The following is a 20,049-nucleotide window of genomic DNA, read 5'->3' as shown; positions in this document are numbered from 1 at the left end:
TAATAAAGAAGCATATATATTACTATATCACACATTTTGTTTTAAAAATCTTTTGGGCTGGGTGCAATGGCTCACGCCTGTAATCCCAGCACTTTGGGAGGCTGAAGCGGGCAGGTCACGGGGTCAGGAGTTCAAGACCAGCCTGACTAACATGTAACATGACCAATCAGTAAGTTATTAGGAAGGCAGAGCCCTTTGTATTAGTCCATTCTCATATTGCTATAAAGAACTACCTGAGACTAGATACTTTATAAAGAAAAGAAGTTTAATTGGCTCACAGTTCCACAGGCTGTACAGGAGGTATGGCTGGGGAGGCCTCGGGAAACTTACAATCATGGTTTCATGGTTTCAGATTTGTCACATACCAAGAATTGTTGCTTTCTGTGGCACAGTCTACCCTGAATATAGCAGGCCAAACACAACCCTGTCCCAAAAATAGAGTGTGACTAACCAGTTTCTGGTACTAGGTGAGTCTCTAGACTACCTAGGTTAGTTGCAGTGTGCTGCAGTGGGGCTTACTGGTGTCATGGTCAAAGGAGTTTCCCAAGCACTGTCTATCATCAAAGGAGAAATAAGTTGAACTAAAGAGTAAGGAAAAGGTGGCCTGTAGGTCTAAGATCAGGAAATTACAATCAGTAAGTTATTAGGAAGGCAGAGCCCTTTCTATTAGTTCATTCTCATATTGCTATAAAGAACTACCTGAGACTAGATACTTTATAAAGAAAAGAGGTTTAATTGGGTCACAGTTCCACAGGCTGTACAGGAGGTATGGCTGGGGAGGCCTCGGGAAACTTACAATCACGGCAAAAGGTGAAGGGGAAGCCCAAACATTCTACATGGCTGGAGTAGGAAGGGGAGAGAGCAAAGAAGGAAGTGCTATACACTTTCAAACAACCAGATCTCATGAGAACAGCAAGACGAAATCCACCCCCATGATCCAGTCACCTCCCACCAGGCTTCTCCTCCAAGACTGAAGATCACAATTCAACATGAGATTTGGGTGGGGACACAGAGCCAAACCATATCACCCTTCAAGTCTCTATTACTTATGAGGTTTAATAAGGTCCTCTATTATGTCAAGCCTCTATTACTTATGTAGTTTAATGAGGTCCTGGAAAGGACCTCATAAGTAACATAGAGGAGAGAACTATCCAATCTCAAAACATTATCAGTATGACCTATAGTCCTGGATACTGAGGACTGATCAAGTCACTTAAAAAAATATATATACAATGGATATATTTTGTAAAGCCGGAAGACCAAAGTGCTATGTTCCAGTGGAATGATCAAATCACTTTTATTTTATTTTTCTTCAAATAGAGACAAAGTCTCACTATGTTGTCCAGGCTGGTCTCAAACTCCTGGACTCAAGTCTCAGCCTCCCAAAGTCTTGGGATTACAGGCATGAGCCACTGCGCCTGGCCAAAATATTTTTTATTTTATTTTATTTTTTGAGACAGTCTCTCACTCTGTTGCCCAGGCTGGAGTGCAGTGGCACGATCTTGGCTCACTGCAACCTCCACCTCCTGGGTTCAAGCGATTCTCCTGCCTCAGCCTCCTGGGTAACTGGGATTACAGACATGCGCCACCATGCCCGGCTAATTTTTGTATTTTTAATAGAGACGGGGTTTCACCATGTTGGCCAGGCTGGTCTCGAACTGCTGACCTCAGGCAATCCACCTACCTCAGCCTCCCAAAGTGCTGGGATTACAGGTGTTAGCCACCATGCCCAGCCTATTTATTTTTTTGAGAGTTTCCCTCTTGTCGCCCAGGCTGGAGTGCAGTGGCACAATCTCAACTCACTGCAACCTCTACCTCCCAGGTTCAAGCTATTCTCCTGCCTCAGCTTCCAGAGTAGCTGGGATTGCAAGCGCCCAACATCACGCCCAGCTAATTTTTGTATTTTTAGTAGAGACGGGGTTTTGCCATGTTGGCCAGGCTTGTCTTGAACTCCTGACCTTAGGTGATCCACCCACCTCAGCCTCCCAAAATGCTGGGATTACAGGCGTCAGCCACCACACCCGGCCCACCTTTATTTTTAAAATTAAATTAGGTTTGGTGTTTTGGATTTTTTTTTTAAAGCTTGACTCCACAGAGATAATCACTATTGACATTTTATTTGAATTATTATTACCATTTTTTTTTTTTGAGATAGAGTCTTGCTCTGTTGCCCAGTCTGGAGTGCTGTGACATGATCTTGGCTCACTGCAACCTCCGCCTCCCGGGTTCTAGCGATTCTTGTGCCTCAGCCTCCTGAGCAATTGGGATTACAGGCACCTGCCACCACACCTGGCTAATTTTTGTATTTTTAGTAGAGATGGGGTTTCATCATGTTGGCCAGGCTGATCTCAAACTCCTGACCTCAAGTGATCCACCCGCCTTGGCCTCCCAAAGTGCTGGGATTACAGCCATGAGGTACCGTGCCCAGCCTTTATGTGAATTATTCTTTAAATACAATATAAATCCTACTAAGGGTAGAAAAGCTACAATGGAAGGTCTTGCATCTTTCACATATCATATCCTTGCCACTATCAAACTAGGTAAGGAGAAAAGTAAAATATAAAATAAAAACAGCTAAAAAAGTATTACTGGTAAATTCTGCCAAACATGTAATGAAGTTTAACACCAACACTACACAAACACTTCCAGAAAAGAGAAAAGGACAGTACACTTCCCATCTCATATTAAACAAAGATATAACAAGAAAACTACAGACTGAAATCCTTCATGAACACAGATGCAAAGATTTTAAACAAAAATTTAGTGAATTCAGTTCAACAATATATAAAAAGAATACGCTACGACCAAATGGAGTTTATCCCAGGAATGCAAGATTAGTTTAACATTTACAAAAATCAATGTAATCCACCCTATTAACAGACTGAAAATGAAAAGACACGATCAGCTCAGTAGATACAGAATGAAATAACGATGTTGAGTGGAAAAAAGGTATACCAAAACAAGAGTATATACAATATGATTTCATTTATATAAAATTCTACATAGGCTGGGTACAGTGGCACATACCTGTAATCCCAGCACTTTGGGAGGCCAACGCAGGCGAATCACTTGAGGCCTGGGCAACATGGTGAAACCCTGCCTCTACAAAAAATACAAAAATTAGCTGGGCGTGGTGGTGTGACCCTGTAGTCTCAGCTACTTAGGAGGCTGAGGTGGGAGGATGGCTTGAGCCCAGAAAGCAGAGGTTGCAGTGAGCCGAAATCCCACCACTGCACTCCAGCCTGGGTGACAGAGCCAGACCCCGTCTTCAAAAATAAAATAAAATTTCTACATAGTCCCAGCTATTCAGGAGGCTGAGGTGAAAGGTTCACATGATCCCAGGAGTTTGAGGCCAGCCTAGGCAACATAGTAAGACCCTGTCTCTAAAATAAAATAAAATTCTACAAAATGCAGGGTTGGGGGCAAGCAGAAGGGAGGAAAAGAATATAGGAGAGAGGGAGGGACTACAAAGGAGCACAAGAAAACTTTTGGTGGTGACAGATATGTTCATATCTTGATTGCAGTGATTGTTTCACAGGTATAAATATATATGTCAAAACTCATCAAACTGTACCCTTAAAAATATGTGCAGTTTATTATATGCCAATTGCAACTCAATGAATCTGTGAACAATAACAACAAAAAGTACTCCTATACATATATAACCTGGAGTGGGGACAGCAATCTACTAATTTCCTAGGAAATTTTACTAAAGTGAAGTAATCAAGATGGTAGTGCCAGTGTGTACTGGTGATAACAAGGATCAGAAGGAATACCAGATAAAAATTATTCCTAAGGCACTGGAACCCAGAGAAGACAGAAATCTCTTGATAATCTAATGTAATATCAATCTCTTTTGATAAATAATATAGAGCCAAGTTCTGTAGTTCCCCAAGGAGAATACACCAGATTAAGACAAAGCAGTTAGAATATCATGAATTCCCATTAACTGATACTTGCAAAACTCTTCCATATACACACACATACATACGTATTTGTATATATTCACATGTATATAAACTTTTTACTATATGTGTATATATAATGTAAGTATGTGTGTGTGTGTGTATACTTAGTCTTATACAAAAATAGGATCATTCTATAAATTTTTTTTTTTTCTGAGACAGGGTCTTACTCTGTCACCCAGGCTGGAGTGCAGTGACACCATCTTAGCTTACTGCAGCCTTGATCTCCCAGGCTTAAGCAGTCCTCCCACAGCCTCCTGAGTAGCTGGGACTACACATGCATGCCACCACACACAGCTAATTTTTGTTTTTGAAAAACTGCTATTTATTTGACCAGAAAAACATTTTGGACTTAAGAAATGGCAATAACTGGCACATATACTAATTCAAAATATTTTCACAAAGCACCAAATAGAATAGTTCCCAATCTTTTCACTGAGAAACCTTTGAAAGAATGCCTAAAACTTAATCAGTTTACTTAGGTTTTTAATCAAGAAATCTAAAGCAGCCAATCAGAGTTTCTAATTACCATGAGATGACCAGGTTAACAACCTTGAGGTTGCAGGAGCTTTTAAAAGCTTTGTTTAGGCTGGGCTCAGTGGCTCATGCCCATAATCCTTGCACTTTGGGAAGCCGAGATGTGAGGATCACTTGAGGCCAGGAGTTTGAGACCAGCCTGGTCAATATAGTGAGACCCCATCTCTATAAAGATAAAATTAAATTAAATTTAAAAAAAAAAAAGCTTTGTTTAACCTACGCATTCTAACTGAGATTTGTTGACCTCAGGCTACTAATCACAGGTCCATGTGCCAGATACCTTGCACACACAAAATTGAGTAATAAGTATCATGTATAAAAGATAAAGACTATATGGTCCCTGTATATTTAAAAGGAATAATACCTAATTCTCATGGGTGAACAATTAGTGAGGGGCAAAGAGACAGACAGAAATTACTAACCCACAAGGGAGAACCAAGCAAGGTCAGTAGAAAAGAGAAAAGTCCTGTGCTCTGGGAATGCAGCAGAAAGGGCATTGGGAGGTTGCAGGGACCAGGCAGCAATCCAGGTCATACCAGGAACATGAGTGGATGTCAGTAAGTGTGGGAAGGAGCCTTCAAGGCTGAAAAAAACTAAACAAGCCAAGACACAGAGCCACAGGAGTACTGCCTGTTCAGAAGACAGTGAAGCATGTGTTCTGGGTAACACGATGTGAACTAAGAAGAGACATAAAACTCAGGAAAACCTCACCCAACGAGAGCCCAGAAACAACACTGGTCTGTATTTCTTAACAGCAATTCAACAGAGAATCTGAGGTGGCCTGCAAAACTAACAAGAGAGTAAATTATCTTGAAAGGGCAGGGGCACCACATGCTCTCTGTGGAGGTTCAGTAGCCAAGGATCACCCTGCAGCCCCTCCCCAACCCTACTGTGACACCCCAGACCCTTGGAATCAAATCCACTAGCAATAACCTTCCTTAATGGAAAATCTCTCCCCTCCCCAAATGTAAAACAAAAGATAAAAGCAAAGAAAACAAAACAAAAAGAGACCATCAGAGCAAGCTTTAGCCCTCATAACTCATCTATGCCCCACTGACAACAGGGTCTACTCCATTACTTAAACTGATTTGTAACACTGCTCCTACTACATCCTCCTCTTCAAAAAAAGTAAATAAACACCACACAAAATATAAACTTACCCCAAACAAAAGTCAGCATCAACCTAAGGATCCTACCGTAATGTTACTACGCTAACCCAGGATATTTTAATCTTCTTCCAAACCATTTACAAAAAAATTCCTCATCTGAGACCTCTGGAAGCGTTACAAATACTGTTACATTAGATTGTTCTTCTTGAGGTAGTTTTAAGTCTTGAAACAAAAAATTTACCTATTTTTCTACACCACTGCTAAGGGGTTAATTATTATAAAATGCCTACAACCAAAATCCCCATCCCCTTGATTCTCAAGCTATTAGAAATTTTTCCCTCATATCAAACAAATGGGAAACACACATAAAAAGATGAAAAGTCATGCAAAAATTTTTAAAAGGCCAGACACAGTGGCTTATACTGGTAATCCCAACACTTTGGGAGGCTGGGGTGGGTAGAATTGCCTGAGCTCAGTAGTTCGAGACCAGCCCGAGCAACATGGTGAAACACCGTCTCTCTAAAAATACAAAAATTAGCTGGGCATGGTGGCAGGCACCTGTGGTCCCAGCTATTTGGGAGGCTGAGGTGGAAGGATCGCTTAAGCCAGGAGGGTGGAAGTTGCAATGAGCTGTGAAGGTGCCACTGCTATGTAGCCTGGGCAACAGAGGAAGATTCTGTCTCAAAAATAAAAATAAAAATAAAAAACAAGCAAAAAAAAAAACCCACATAAAAAAGAAAGTGTATCATCATACGAACAGTCTAAACTTTGCCTAAGACAAAAAAAAGTTTACTTGGTTTACCCAAGGTACAGGCATGTTATAAATAAAGTACTCAAGAAATTAACATCTTATAAAAATAGTGAAAAAATTTTAGGTGGGAGCATAAAACTAAAATCAACTCATTCTCTGTCAAAGAGTTCTTCCAAAATGCCAAGTCTACAAGAAGGGATGTGTGGCAAACCATCTGCATGGGGCTCTCCCACACCAGCCCACTCTCAGGCCCACAGCCTTTACCCTTTTGCTCAGGTGCACTTCAGAAGTGCAGGGATATTGAATGCCTGCTCAAGGTAGACCAAGGAGCCTTGATGGATGTCAGCTAGCTTTTTGTACTGCACGTGATGACCTCCAGCACTTGCTGCCAATGCCTTAGCTTTGTCAAGTGCTTCTGGACCAGTGCATGTCTCCAATGTTATTCATTTCTTAGTTCGGAGACATCGACATCCTCATTGATAACTTGCTCTGGTTTCTGGACAGATAATTGCAATCTTTTTTGTAGGAAAGAAATATTCTGTCTTGCAATATCCAGAAACTTGTGTATACACCGATCAACACCAGTTCCAATTTCTTCCTGATTGCTGCCATTGACATAGTCCTGACTTAACGGAGAGGCAAAGCAAGTCTGGAAAGATGACTCCATGTCATCCACCAAAGTACTGTTAGAAGGTCTCAGAGGCCCTGGAGCTGCTGGTAAGTAAAGGAAGCCTGGCCCCAGAGCCCCGGTGGTGGTTGGGGCCCCGATGGCTGCCCAAAGAACATACTGCCTAGCAAAGCAGCCATGCCTGGAATAATTTTTTTTTCTTATTTTTAGTAGCGATGAGGTGTCACTATGTGCCCAGGTTGGTCTTGAACTCCTAAGCTCGAGTGATCATCTCATCCCAGCCTCCCAAAGTGCTAGGATTACAAGTGTGAGCCACCACATCCGGCCTTTTCTACATAATTCTAAATATGGCTTATAGTCTTCTTCCTCCCTCTTCATATTGCCAATTTTTGTTAATATAAATTATTATTTTTAATAATTGTGTACTGTTCTTCTGTTTGGATGTAACGGAATTTAATCATATTCCTACTGACATTTATATTGTTTTCCTTTTCTTTGCTTTTTGAGACAGGGTCTCACTCTGTTGCACAGGCTGGAGTGCAGTGATACAATCTTGGCTCACTGCAGCCTTGACCTCCTGGGCTCAAGCGATCCTCCTGCCTCAGCCCTGCGATTTTCCTTCTTTAATAATCAACACTGCTGTGATAAACATCCATGTTCACCTGTCCCAATATTATTTTAACTTTTTAAAGTATTTTTCTTTTTTTCACCCCTTCTTTTCACAGGTGTTGACCAATATTACTTTAGAATATTGATGTGGATTTTGTTGTTGTTGAGAAAAGGTCTTGCTCTGTCACCCAGACTGCAGTTGCAGTGGCATGATCATGGCTCCTCCAGGGGCTCAAGTGATCCTCCCAGCTCAACCTAGCCTCCCCAGTAGCTAAGACTACAGGCGTGTACCACCATGCCTGGCTAGTTTTGTGGGTTTTTTGTTTTGTTTTGTTTTGTTTAAGAGACAGAGTCTCACTTTGTTGCCCAGGCTGGTCTTGAACTACTGACCTCACGCCATCCTCCCACTTCGGCCTCCCAAAATGCTGGGATTACAGATGGGAGCCACTGTGCCCTGCCCAGATTTATTTAAGAAACCAAGTACCATATAAATGGGAAACAAAAAGTATTATAAGAATTCAAAGGTAGGAGGGAGAGATCAGTTTGGCCCAAAATGGTCCCAAGAAAGTTATTAATACTAAAGGAAGTGATTCTTGAGATAGGTTTTCAAGAATGGGGAAGAATTCCCTAAGATGCAAACAAATGAATTTGGTAAGAAAGGAAGCTGCAGATTTTGGACATTTTATTTTGAATTAAGAATGTATTCCGAGCCAGGCACAGCGGCTCAGGCCTGTAATCCCAGCACTTTGAGAAGGTGAGCCAGAAGGATCACTTGAGTCCAGGAGTTCAAGACCAGCCTGGGCAATATAGTGAGACCCCCATCTCTACAGAAAATTAAAAAAATTACCAAGAATGGTGGCATGCGCCTGTGGTTCCAGCTACTATGAAGGCTGAGGCAGGAGGACTGCTTGAGCCCAAGAGGTGGAAGCTGCAATGAGCTATGATGGTGCCACTTAACTCGAACCTGGGCGACACAGTGAGACCCCATCTCTAAGAAAAAAACAAAAACAAGACAAAACCAAAAAAGAATGTACTCCGGTCATTGTCATTTCCTTGAGACGTTAAGATTTAAATTACTTTGGATTTTCTTAACAGAATGAACAGGAGTTGGACTGGTGGAGAGGAAAGCGCATGACGATGTAGGAGGGTCTCGGACACCAATGCATCGCCACGTCTAAGTGAAGCAGCAGCAAGCGATATTGGTGTGGGCGACGAGGGTGGACACGGAGTCTGGGGACGGCCGACTGTGGGAGATCTAGTTACAAGGCAATAAGTCCATAAGACTGGCTTTTTTGAAGACCACAGACGCTCTTTGGGACTCAGTCCAGAGCTACAAAAACGTGGGGACGAATTGCGCCTTACAACGTCTGCCCTTGGCCTTGGCAGGGGCTCCTCCCCATCCCTCGCCATTTGCCAACAGGGGCCGGCCTGGCCGGGCTCGCTCTCACCTGCGCCTGGATGCAGAGAGAGATGCAGTCGTGCGAGAGCCGGTACCTGCGCAGCAGCCGCAGGCATTTCACCAGGTGCTCCTCCCCCGCCGACAGCTCCTCCGTGTCGATGTGGTTCACCCCGAGGTGGAACTCGATGACTGCCAGCCTCACCGCTCGCTGGGCGACGGGCCCCTCGGGCTCCACCACCTCAGCCGGCAGCCCCAGGGCGTGGTCACCGGCACCCGGGCCGTCCTCGGCCTCAGGCCGCTCATCCTCGTCCTCAGGCGCAGGGCCGAGCAGCGCCTTGACCTCTTCCAGTAGCGCCCGGGCGCTGTATTTGGACTTGTATGGTTCCTTCTCCGGATTTTTATGCAGTTCCACCCGCGACAGAGCGAGCGCCGCCTGGAATTTCTCGCAGACCTCTGCCCACGGAACGTTCGCCATAGCGGCCTCTACTGCCTGGCTTTCCTCAATGTTTGCAGTCGGGACTCCCGCCTTCCTTCTGCTTTGCGACACTTTACTTACGGCTCTCGACACGTTGCGGCCGCTGTGGAATGGGAACCAATATAACCCTCCCGGAGAACCGCAATACGCTCGGCAATGACCAATGGGAAGACGCAGCAATCACCACAGCAACCATTCTCATGGAAATGAAGTTGTCAATGAGCGTGTTCCCACCTCCTTCCCCGCCCCCTGCAGCGGTGAGTTTATCTCCAGATTGACCCTGTGAGGATGGATTTATATAAATGTTTAATATCGGCTTACTTTAACGAAGCATATCGGAATATTGTTTACAAACATAGCTAGCTAACTCTACTCGCGTTGATATGAACTGAAAGGCAAAAACCTTTAGACATTAAGTGTATAGCCCAGCCTGTCACTGGATAAAACTTTTTTTAAAAAAGGCCAGGCGCAGTGGCTCATATCTGCAATCCTAACATTTTGGGATGCCAGTAACATTTTGGGATGCCCACTGGAGTGGGCAACATAGCAAGACCCATCTCTACATAATTTTTTTTAAAAAATTAGCCGGGCGTGGTGGCGCGCGACTGTAGTCCCAGCTACCATGGAGGCTGAGGCGGAAGGATGGCTTGAGCCCAAGAGGTGGAGGTTACAGTGAGCGAGACTGCCTCAGAAAAAAAGAAAACACGAGCATTAGAACAAATACCTAATGTATGCGGGGCATAAAACTTAGCTGACAGGTTGATAGGTGCAGCAAACCACCATGGCACATGTATACCTATGTAACAAACCTGCATGTTCTGCACATGTATCCCAGAACTTAAAAGTAAAATAAAAGAAAAAAAATTGAAATGTAGCCAAGAGCTGATTATTATCATTGACACATAATCTCTTGATCGAGAGCCATAAATATACAAAACACTCAGTGATAGACAAATATTTTCACTTCGACCCTGAAATACAGGTTGTAGGAATCTGTACAACTGCCCAAGGTAACAAGAGCTAAGTCCCACAGCTGTGAAAGCCGCCTCATGCCTTTTACCTTCCTAAGTTATCAAGTCAAATGGGGAGGGGTGATAGAAGATTTTAACTATTAAGCACCAGCTGTGTACAGTGCTTTGAGACATACAAAGGAGCATTGATTTTGGGAGCTCATAGACATATGGTTTGAACCTCAGACCAACCAGCTTTCTTATTGACAAGTTAACTTTTTTAAGCTTCAGGTTTCCCACAGTAAAATCTGAATGATACTACTTACCTCGACAGAATTATTCTGAAGAATAAATAAAATTAAACGTCTATCCTTTAAGTGTTAATGCTCCTAAAAAGTCCTTCCTAAACCTTATCCCTGGGAGATCTCATCCATTTCCAGGTCTATCATTAAACACGCTGCTCACTCCCACTTTGTCTCCAGGCCAGATGGCTCTCCAGAGCTCCAGACTGGAATATCCAACATCCAGCTACAACAATCACACCTGAATGTTTCAATAGCTGCTGTGTGTCAGTATGTTCAAGTCTAAATGATCTTCCTCTTCACATGCCCCTTCCTTCCCATACCAAATTTGCCACATTTGCAGTTCTACATGTCAGTGAATGGCACCACCATCCACCAGGCTGATTTCCTGCACTTTTTTTTTTTTTTTTGGTAGAGATGGAGTCTTGCCATGTTGCCCAGGCTTATCAAGCAATCCTCCCACCTCAGCCCCCTAAAGTGCTGGGATTACCAAGCCCAGCCTGTTCTGTCATTCTTTTTTTTTTTTTTTTTTTTTTTTGAGACGGAGTCTTGCTTTGTTGCCCAGGCTGGAGTGCACTGGCGTGGTCTCAGCTCACTGCAACCTCAACCTCCTGAGTAGTTGGGATTACAGGTGTGCACCACCACACCTAGCTAATTTTTGTATTTTTGGTAGAGACGGGGTTGGGGGGGCGGTTCACCATGTTGGCCATACTGGTCTCGAACTCCTGACCTGAAGTAATGTGCCCGCCTTGGCCTCCCAAAGTACTGTGATTACAGGCGTGAGCCACTGCACCAGGCCTCTTCTGTCATTAAACCTAAAACCAGATAGTACTGCTTAGTCCACCTCCTAAAGAGCTCTGTGTACATCTTTTTATCTCCATTAGTTTAGGCCACCATCATCTGATTACTTCTAACAGGCAGTCCTGCTGCCAGTTTGGCCTCCTATCAGTGCATCTCCCAGTACATTTAAAATGATTTGGGCCAGGCGCAATGGCTCACACCTGTAATCCTAGCACTTTGGGAGGCCAAGGTCGCGGGATCGATTGAGCCCAGGAGTTCAAGACCAGCCCGGGCAACATGGCAAAACCCCGTATCTACAAAAAAATAAATAAATAAATACAAAAATTTGACAGGCATGGTGGTGGATGCCTGTAGTCCCAGCTACTCAGGAGGCTGACATGGGAGATCACCTGAACCTGGCAGTTGGAGGCTGCGGTGAGCTGTGATCAAGCCGCTGCACACCAGCCTGGGTAGCAGAGTGAGACCCTGTCTCAAAAAAAAAAAAAAAAAAAAAAAATTTGTTCACCTGTTCAATATTTAGTTATCTATTATTTGCCAGCACTGTTGTAGGTGCTGGGAATTCAGCAGTAAAAAATGGATAAAAATTCACCAGCCTGGACAATATAGTGAGATCCCTGGCTCTACAAAAAACATCTTTTTTTTTGAGACAGAGTCTTGCTCTGTCACCCAGGCTGGAGTGCAGTGGCATGATCTCAGCTCACTGCAAATTCTGCCTCCCGGGTTCACGCCATTCACCTGCCTCAGCCTCCCAAGTAGCTGGGACTACAGGCGCCCGCCACCATGCCCAGCTAATTTTTCTACAAAAAACATTTTTAAAGAAATATTGGCCAGGTGTGGCGGCACATGCCTATAGTCTTAGCTAAGTGGGAGACTGAAGTAAGAGGGTCATTAGAGCCCAGGAGTTCAAGGCTGCAGTGAGCTATGATCATGCCACTGAACTCCATCCTGGGTAACAGATAGAGACCCTGTCTCAAAGAAAGACAAAAATCCATGCCCCGGTATAGGGAAAACACTAAATATATTAAATACATAAACCTCAATGCAATGACTGGAGATCCATCTCATGACAGATAATTAGAAGAGGGCGGGCATGGTGGCTCACACCTATAATCCCAGCACTTTGGGAGGCCAAGGCAGGACGATTGCTTGAGGCCAGGGGTTCACAAACAGCTTGATCAACAGAATGAGACTCCATCTCTATAAAAAATTTAAATATTAGCCAGGTTTGGTGGTACCCCCCTGTAGTCTCAGCTACTTGGGAGGCTGAGAGGGAAGATCACTTGAGCCTAGGAGTTCAAAGCTGTAGTTCTACCTTTAGAAAACGTATCCTAAGGTGACAGACGAGTATGCAAACACATATGTGAGGATATTAACTTTAGGGTTGTTTATAATGGTGAAAAATTAGAAATAACCAACATGGACATCGAGTACTGGTTAAATGTGTAGTGGCATATCCATACAAGAAAACATGTCATCAAAAATGTCCATGTAAGCCTGTACAAAATTGTGCACAACATGTTGAGGGGGGAAAAGCAATACACAAAATCAAATAATTCCAATTTTATAAATGAACATGTGGAAGACTGCTCACTAAAATATTAGATAAGGGTGACTGGTTTTTTTTCTCTTTAGATTTTTATATCTAGCTTTTATTATTTTTATAATAAATATTTCAAGCTATTTTCATTTTAGAAAACAAAAGCCACTAAAATCAAGTATTACTATCTTTATTATGGTATACAGCAGTATTTTATACATTAGCTCATTTTATAGTAAAAACATTTATGCACAACTGTAGAGAAACTGCTGCACAGATAGCTCCAACTTAAATTAGAAAATATTTTCTTTGTAGAAAATAGTAAAAATTATAACATTTACCAAGCTAACCCAACAAGTTCATTTAAACCAAAAAGTAGCTAAATACATTATACATTTATAAATACAGGTTGAATTCTGGGATCCAGGAGAAACTTTAGTCCTTTATTGAAATAGCCATGTTTTAAGTTATGTGAAGTGAAATTTCTATTAATCTTCTCTCTTACTCTTAATTTATGCCAGATTATTTTTCTTTAGGCTAAATCCATAATCCACAACAAGGTTTTAGCTGTTCTTTTCTAAAGGACGGGTACCATATCCTTTTAATCTGCTTGATAAGGTACCCATGCCTATCCAAATAATGAAATGGTTCAGTTATTATTAAAGCATGCCCAGTATTTGGGCAAAACCAGAATCTAATAAATTACACTGTCACCTAATACCCATGGCTTGATGGGAAGCCATGAGGAACAAGGGTAAAGTGATAAAACTGGCAAGTGGATCAAGGAATAAAAGCCAAGAGAATTCTGAGACCAGAGGGCAAGAAATATCTAGTCGGGATTCAAGGACAGAACTGAAGTTCAAATAGAAAAAGAATGTTGCCTCAAGGATTAGGAGCTGAGCTGGCTATCAGAGCTCCTAGTACATGGTGATCAAATAAGGGGCAGTTAGAGATAAAGACTGGATTAAGCAAGAGAAATCAGGACCAAGAAAGATTCTAGGTATTCACAATAATTAAATGAAAACAAGACAGACCATGCAGCTTTAAATTTCCTAGCATAGTAGTTCCAGGATTCTCAGTACAGAAATAATCTCTGGAAATTAAGGCGAGAAGATAATGCCACTCTTAAGCTCCTGTGCTATGTAGAATGTTTCCCAGAGAAATAATATCTGAGAAATCAGGCAGTTATCTGGCCAGGGGCTACATCAGGTTCTTCAGTTCCCTCAAAACAACTTAATCACATACAGTTTGTCTTAAAAGGAAGCCTCCAAGCAGCTAAAACAAACTTTCAACAGACATTCAGTTTAACAGATCCTATACTGTGGCTTTAGGAACTAGGCCACTGACTACCTAAAAACCCCAGCTTGCCCACTTGAAGTTAACCTCTAGAAACATTAGTGATCTGTGAAGTTTTCACCATTAAAACAATGCTTTATCATCCAAATCATACTTGTTCTTCTCTTTGCTTTCCAGTTATGAATTTGTTACCTTTTTGCATTTGATTATTTCCAGTGGTTTGGTTCTTTTTTTTTTTTTTTTTTTTTACATACTCTTGAGCAATGCTAATCTGCGCCCCCTACTCCCTTAAGTCCTTCTTGGTAAATAATGTTAATCTTCCAATAGGAAGAAGTGGAGTACATTACCATTTAAGCACCATTTATCCAGCCTACTTACAAATAAAGCTATGGAGCCACCTTATACATGTGAAATTCCTTAAAACCCTGGCTTTCTATTAAAATGTACTTTTATATATACTATCTATGAAGAATTCACTAAAGCATGAATCACCTTATAATGAGAAGCTAAAAATGTATCAAAACGAACATAAGTATAGGTAATCCACATCAAACATACTACATCTTCCAAGTCTAGAGCATACACTGGTATAAACTGTATTACAACCCAGATTAGTTTGAAATCTTGTTTCAAAACATTGCTCAGTATTAAGTCTCAGTAGACAAATAATAGGACCACATGAGAAACTGTTCGGCAGGTGGCTGAGGAAACCTTAACTTCCAAAGGCTCAAAGTGGTCCTCCAGAGACTGTTACACTCCCTTAGGTATTTATTTCAGGGAAGGACACTATTAAGGGACACTTTTGAGTATAAAGACAGGTGAACTCACAAAGTATAGGCAGATACATGCTTGATTTTATCTTCTAATCTACAGATAATACATTAGAATAAAAATGTAATGAATTCATACACCTTTCAAAAGGAAAAACTGATGAAGAAGTAACAATAAAGTTATAAATGATAATGATCAGATGAAATAATTTAAATGAAGCTTGTCTGTGTCTGAAAGAGACAGGGACTTGGCAAGTGGTCAAAAGGAGGCACAATGTGCTTTTAACTTTGCATGAAAAATAATGTTCAGTTCTATATTGCCAAACATCATTCTCTTTTTGCTATATAAATCTTCTATTTCTAATTATTGACCAAATGCTTTACTGAAACTCCGCTTCTGGCCTTTGTTTTGGGATCTGTTACTTTTGTTGCCACCTCCTGATCGCTGTCCTCTCGGGCCTCTACTGCCTTCCCGCTGTCCTCTGAATCTTCTGTTTCCGTCCCGCTGTCCCCTGAAGCCTCGACTGCCTTCCCGCTGTCCCCTGAAGCCTCCATATCCTTCCCGTGGTCCTTCCAGTTCTGGTTGCTCTGTGGCCACAGAGAGCTGCCAGCGTCGTGAATCATGCCATTTCTCCTGTTGAGAGAATGTTTTGTTTTTGTGTGCTTTAATTAGTATTCAATTTTTAAAAAGCATGAGAAAAACAAAATATTTGCCACTTCTTCAAAGAAAAGGTGATAACATAAGTGCTTAACAAGTCACTGGTCAAAAATAACACTGGCCACCCATCATGGTCCAAAAGCCAGTGTCCCTGAAGTGTGGGAAAACACAGTTTCATTATGAGAAATAGCCCTCATCACTACTTCATTTATTAAGTTATTAAACCATTTATTCAACTCAATTGCTACAGGGTATCTACAGCCAAAGGTAATAAAACAAATATATTAAGCACACATTTCTCACAGTATTGAATAAAGATGTAACAATTTTAAATGTCTATGAAAACCTGTAGGCTGGACGTGGTGGCTCATGCCTGTAATTCCAGCACTTTGGGAGGTGGGTGGATCACCCGCGGTCAGGAGTTCGAGACCAGCCTGGCCAACATGGCGAAACCCCCGTCTCTACTAAAAATACAAAAAATTAGCTGGGGGTAGTGATGGGCCTATAATCCCAGCTACTTGGGAAGCTGAGGCAAGAGAATCGCTTGAACCCGGGAGGCGGAGGTAGCAGTGAACCGAGATTGCACCACTGCACTCCAGCCTGGGCGACAGAGCGAGACTCTGTCTGAAAACACACACACACATGCACACACACACACACACACACAAAATCTATATACCATATATAAGTGTTAAAGGGTGGGGAGAGCTGGATATCGTTCACAACTTTGTATAAAGGAAATATAGAAACCAGGTGGGTTCAACTACAAAAATATCAGAATTAAAAAGTTAGGGGGGAATATTCCAAAATTTAATTATCGATTATCTCTTACTAAAGGAACCAGAACTATTGTTTCCCAATCTATTATTCTCTATTTTCATAATTAACATTCTACAATTTAGGTATGTTAACTTTAAAATCTAAGGGAAAAGAATACCTGTATTTCTGTTACTGATGCGGTAGGTACATCAAAGCAAACACCCTAGAAATCAAAGCAAATGGAAGTTAATCCAACCAACGCACATGAAAAATACTCCCTTTAAAAGACCACGTATTCTTTAAAAAAAAGAAAACAAAAAACATAAAGCAAAAAAACCACCAGGTATAATTTTAGATGAACTTTAGACCAAAGCTAATACATTATAGCTGCCAAAAGTACACTGCAGAAAGACAAGGAACATTGAAAAAAAGAACCCCAAATGATTTAGAACTTTCTAACTATAGACAGAGTCTTAGCTATTACACTGTGCTAACCCCCTAGTGGCTATTAGCTACATTTTATTGCTGAGCAAACAGGCTTGGAAAGGTTAGCTGACTTGTCTAAGGCCCCACAGCTATTAAATGGCACAAGTATTTAAAATCTAGTCTGTATGGCTCTAAAACCTATAGTCTAAACTATATACTGCCTTCCATCAGAAAAGCAATGCCAGCTATTCAGAATGACCTAATTAAAAGCAGAAAAACAAGTGATCTTCTATTGTTGATTTTCTGGTTTTTCTTAATTCAGCCTTCTGTAAGAGTATGAAAAAAATAATACAGGACACCATCTTTTTTTTTTCCCTCTTAAGATAGGGTCTTGCTCTACTGCCTAGGCTGGAGTGCAGTGGTGCAATTAACAACTCACTGTAACTTTGAATTCCTACAGGTGCATGCCACTACATCTGGCTTTTTTTTTTTTTTTTTTTTGGTAGAGACAGGGTCTCACTACATTACCCAGGCTGGTCTCAAGAATTATCTTCCCAGCTCAGCCTCCCAAAATACTGAGATTACAGGTGTGAGCCATGGCACCTAGCCAGGACACCATCTTTAATATTAAGTGCCATCCTCTCCAATCAAGGAAATCGTCTAAAAATATAGTCAAACTATGTGTTAACTAATACAGGCACTCCTCTCCCTGCTGTCTTCAACTGCAATATTTTATAAGGAACACCCCTTTCACCCCAAAATTTACCCAATCATAACATAGGTATCATCACCTACTGGTGGATTTTGCCATTCATGGGAATCTTCGCTTACATATTTACGAAGTAGAGTATAATCCCAGGCATTCACTGGGTATAGAGGTAATTAGAAAACAGTTTTTGCCTTTGAGTGTTCTTGAGGCTCTCCATTAGCAAACACAGCAAGGTAAAAGTTTACCTGCATAAACATGTGTCCTAAAGACTCTGAAGTACAGATAAAGACGCCCCTAACATTGCCTGGTAAGATTTAAGGCTAAGCAAAGTCATAAAAGCTACTTTGGAGGAAAAGATTTATATATATATAAAATTTTTTTTTTAAGACGGAGTTTCACTCTTGTTGCCCAAGCTGGAGTGTAATGGCGCGATCTCGGCTCACCGCAACCTCTGCCACCCGGGTTCAAGTGATTCTCCTGCCTCAGCCTCCTGAGTAGCTGGGATTACAGGCATGCGCCATTATCCTCGGCTAATTTTGTATTTTTAGTACAGACAGGTTTTCTCCATGTTGGTCAGGCTGGTCTCAAACTCCCGACCTCAGGTGATCCGTCCACCTCAGCCTCCCAAAGTGCTGAGATTACAGGCATGAGCCACGGGGCCCAGCCGAAAGATTACTATAAATAGTAGGTTCAGCATGCACTGAGGATGAGATAAAGCATGGTGTACTGGGCACTGCTGGAGTAAATGGTGTTGGTAGCAATGAGGTAGAAATTAAGCTGTAAGGTTAGCAGAGGCCAGGACATGAAGGATCTTATCCTCCTATGAAAGGGTTGAGACTTTATCCCACAAGTTTTGTGGAGTTGCTTAAGGAGATAACAACATGGCTAGACATGCAATAAGTTGAAGATAAATCCGATTAGTTCACTAGGCCAATGGAAACCTGGAAACCTGAGATCTTTTAGGGGCTTCGCCAAGTCAAAATTATTTTCATAATAATGTTGCCCTTTCCACACTCATTCCCTCAAGGGTACAGTGGAGTTTCCTAGACATATATGACGTGATAAAATCATTGCTCTGATGACTAATGGAACATGATATTGTGTTTTAGAGTTCCAGTTTTAATTTCTAATACAGTAAGTATCAATAGATATAACCCATGTAAACAAAAGCTTTTGGGGGTCCCTAACATTTGCTAAAGGGATTGTGAAACCAAAATGTTTGAGAATCCTTGTGATAGTCTATGGCATAAACAAAGAGAAGGCCTCAGAAGAAAGAACACCAGGTTTGGGAGGCAAATTTTTTCATTTTTAATTTGAATTCAAGATTCTGAATAAGTCCAGTGCTAGAATAGCATTGCTAAGAAAAAAAAAGATTCTGAAAAAGTTACTTTAAATAAGCTATTTAGGTAGAGATGTCAGGGAAGCAGCTGGATCAAGTCTGGCATTGTGAGAACGGTTCAGGCTGGAGATAGAGGTACAGTAGTTGTCAGTGGCAGAGTGGCATCTGAGGATCACGGATGAGATTACCCAGGGAAGATGAGAGAGTGAAGAGATGCAGCATCCCCACAGAACAGGAAGAACCCACACCACACTGTTTTCCTGCCCACATAAAGCCCCATCAAGGTTACAACAGAGACCCCAGCCTTACCAGCTTTCCTTTGAGAAAAACCATTCCCTTCACTTTGGAATCAATCTCCTCGCCCAGCTGCTCTTTAAGTTCTTTCCAAGCATAACTAATATTTGGCATTTCAATTGAGCACTGCAAGATCATGGTCACAAAACCCTTACAACACAAGAAAGGAGAATAAAATTAAAGTGCTGAAAATAAACCTAATTGATAAATACCTGCTTTTGTGATTCTAAAATATTTCTTGAAAAGTTATTCCTAAAAACATACATCTCACACAAACAATTAGTACGAACAGTCCCTCGTTTTACTTGGGGAACTCTGAGTAAGACTGGTTGATTGTACCAATGTCAATATCTTGGTTGTGGTATTATAGTTTTCCAAAATATTGCCATTTAGGGAAGCTGAGCAGAGTATACAAAGGATCTCTCTGTATTATTTCTTACAGCTACATGTAAATCTACAATTATCTCAATAAAAATTTGAATTTACAGGAAAAGAAAAGCATACACCTTCTAAAGTTTCTAGGTATGCTGGCTAAATGTATTATATGCATTTATGCGCATATATATGTTTGGGCTACTTTAGGATTAAAACAATTAAAAATCACATACCACAAAATTCACCATTTGAAAGTATATAATCCAGTGTTTTTTTTGTTTGTTTTAGTATATTTGTAAGATCTGCAACCATTCAGCACTATCTAAAATTTCAGAACATGGCATAATCCACCCAAAAGAA

General features: G+C 41.5%; 2 protein-coding genes and 1 pseudogene across 4 annotated transcripts in view, besides 1 other annotated feature; all 3 read right to left on the bottom strand.

Moving 5' to 3' along the window:
* KIFBP (kinesin family binding protein) overlaps window positions 1–9,503 on the bottom strand; it is a 28,180-nt gene extending 18,677 nt beyond the window's left edge. The window contains exon 1 of the mRNA NM_015634.4: window positions 9,048–9,503. Within this exon, the coding sequence (NP_056449.1) occupies window positions 9,048–9,473 (426 nt within the window). The 5' untranslated portion in view covers window positions 9,474–9,503. The remainder of the gene's footprint in view (window positions 1–9,047) is intronic.
* Window positions 6,438–7,178, bottom strand: MED28P1 (mediator complex subunit 28 pseudogene 1; annotated as a pseudogene).
* Window positions 9,332–9,711: an enhancer, noted in NCBI's record as "active region_3474". NCBI's record gives its function as "activates an Ori minimal core promoter by ATAC-STARR-seq in GM12878 lymphoblastoid cells {active_cell/tissue: GM12878}" and the evidence as "EXISTENCE:reporter gene assay evidence [ECO:0000049][PMID:35858748]".
* DDX21 (DExD-box helicase 21) overlaps window positions 13,238–20,049 on the bottom strand; it is a 28,899-nt gene continuing 22,087 nt past the window's right edge. For all 3 annotated transcript variants that reach the window (NM_004728.4, NM_001410932.1, NM_001256910.2), the window contains 3 exons: window positions 19,330–19,464; window positions 16,725–16,769; window positions 13,238–15,763 (listed from right to left, as the gene is read on the bottom strand). In NM_004728.4, coding sequence (NP_004719.2) covers window positions 15,494–15,763; window positions 16,725–16,769; window positions 19,330–19,464 — 450 coding nt within the window. In that variant the 3' untranslated portion in view covers window positions 13,238–15,493. The remainder of the gene's footprint in view (window positions 15,764–16,724; window positions 16,770–19,329; window positions 19,465–20,049) is intronic.

The sequence above is a fragment of the Homo sapiens genome, chromosome 10, assembly GCF_000001405.40.
Source record: "Homo sapiens chromosome 10, GRCh38.p14 Primary Assembly".
NCBI lineage: Eukaryota > Metazoa > Chordata > Mammalia > Primates > Hominidae > Homo > Homo sapiens.
The sequence above is the reverse complement of the archived record's forward strand: the minus strand, read 5'-3'. Positions and strand labels throughout refer to the sequence as shown.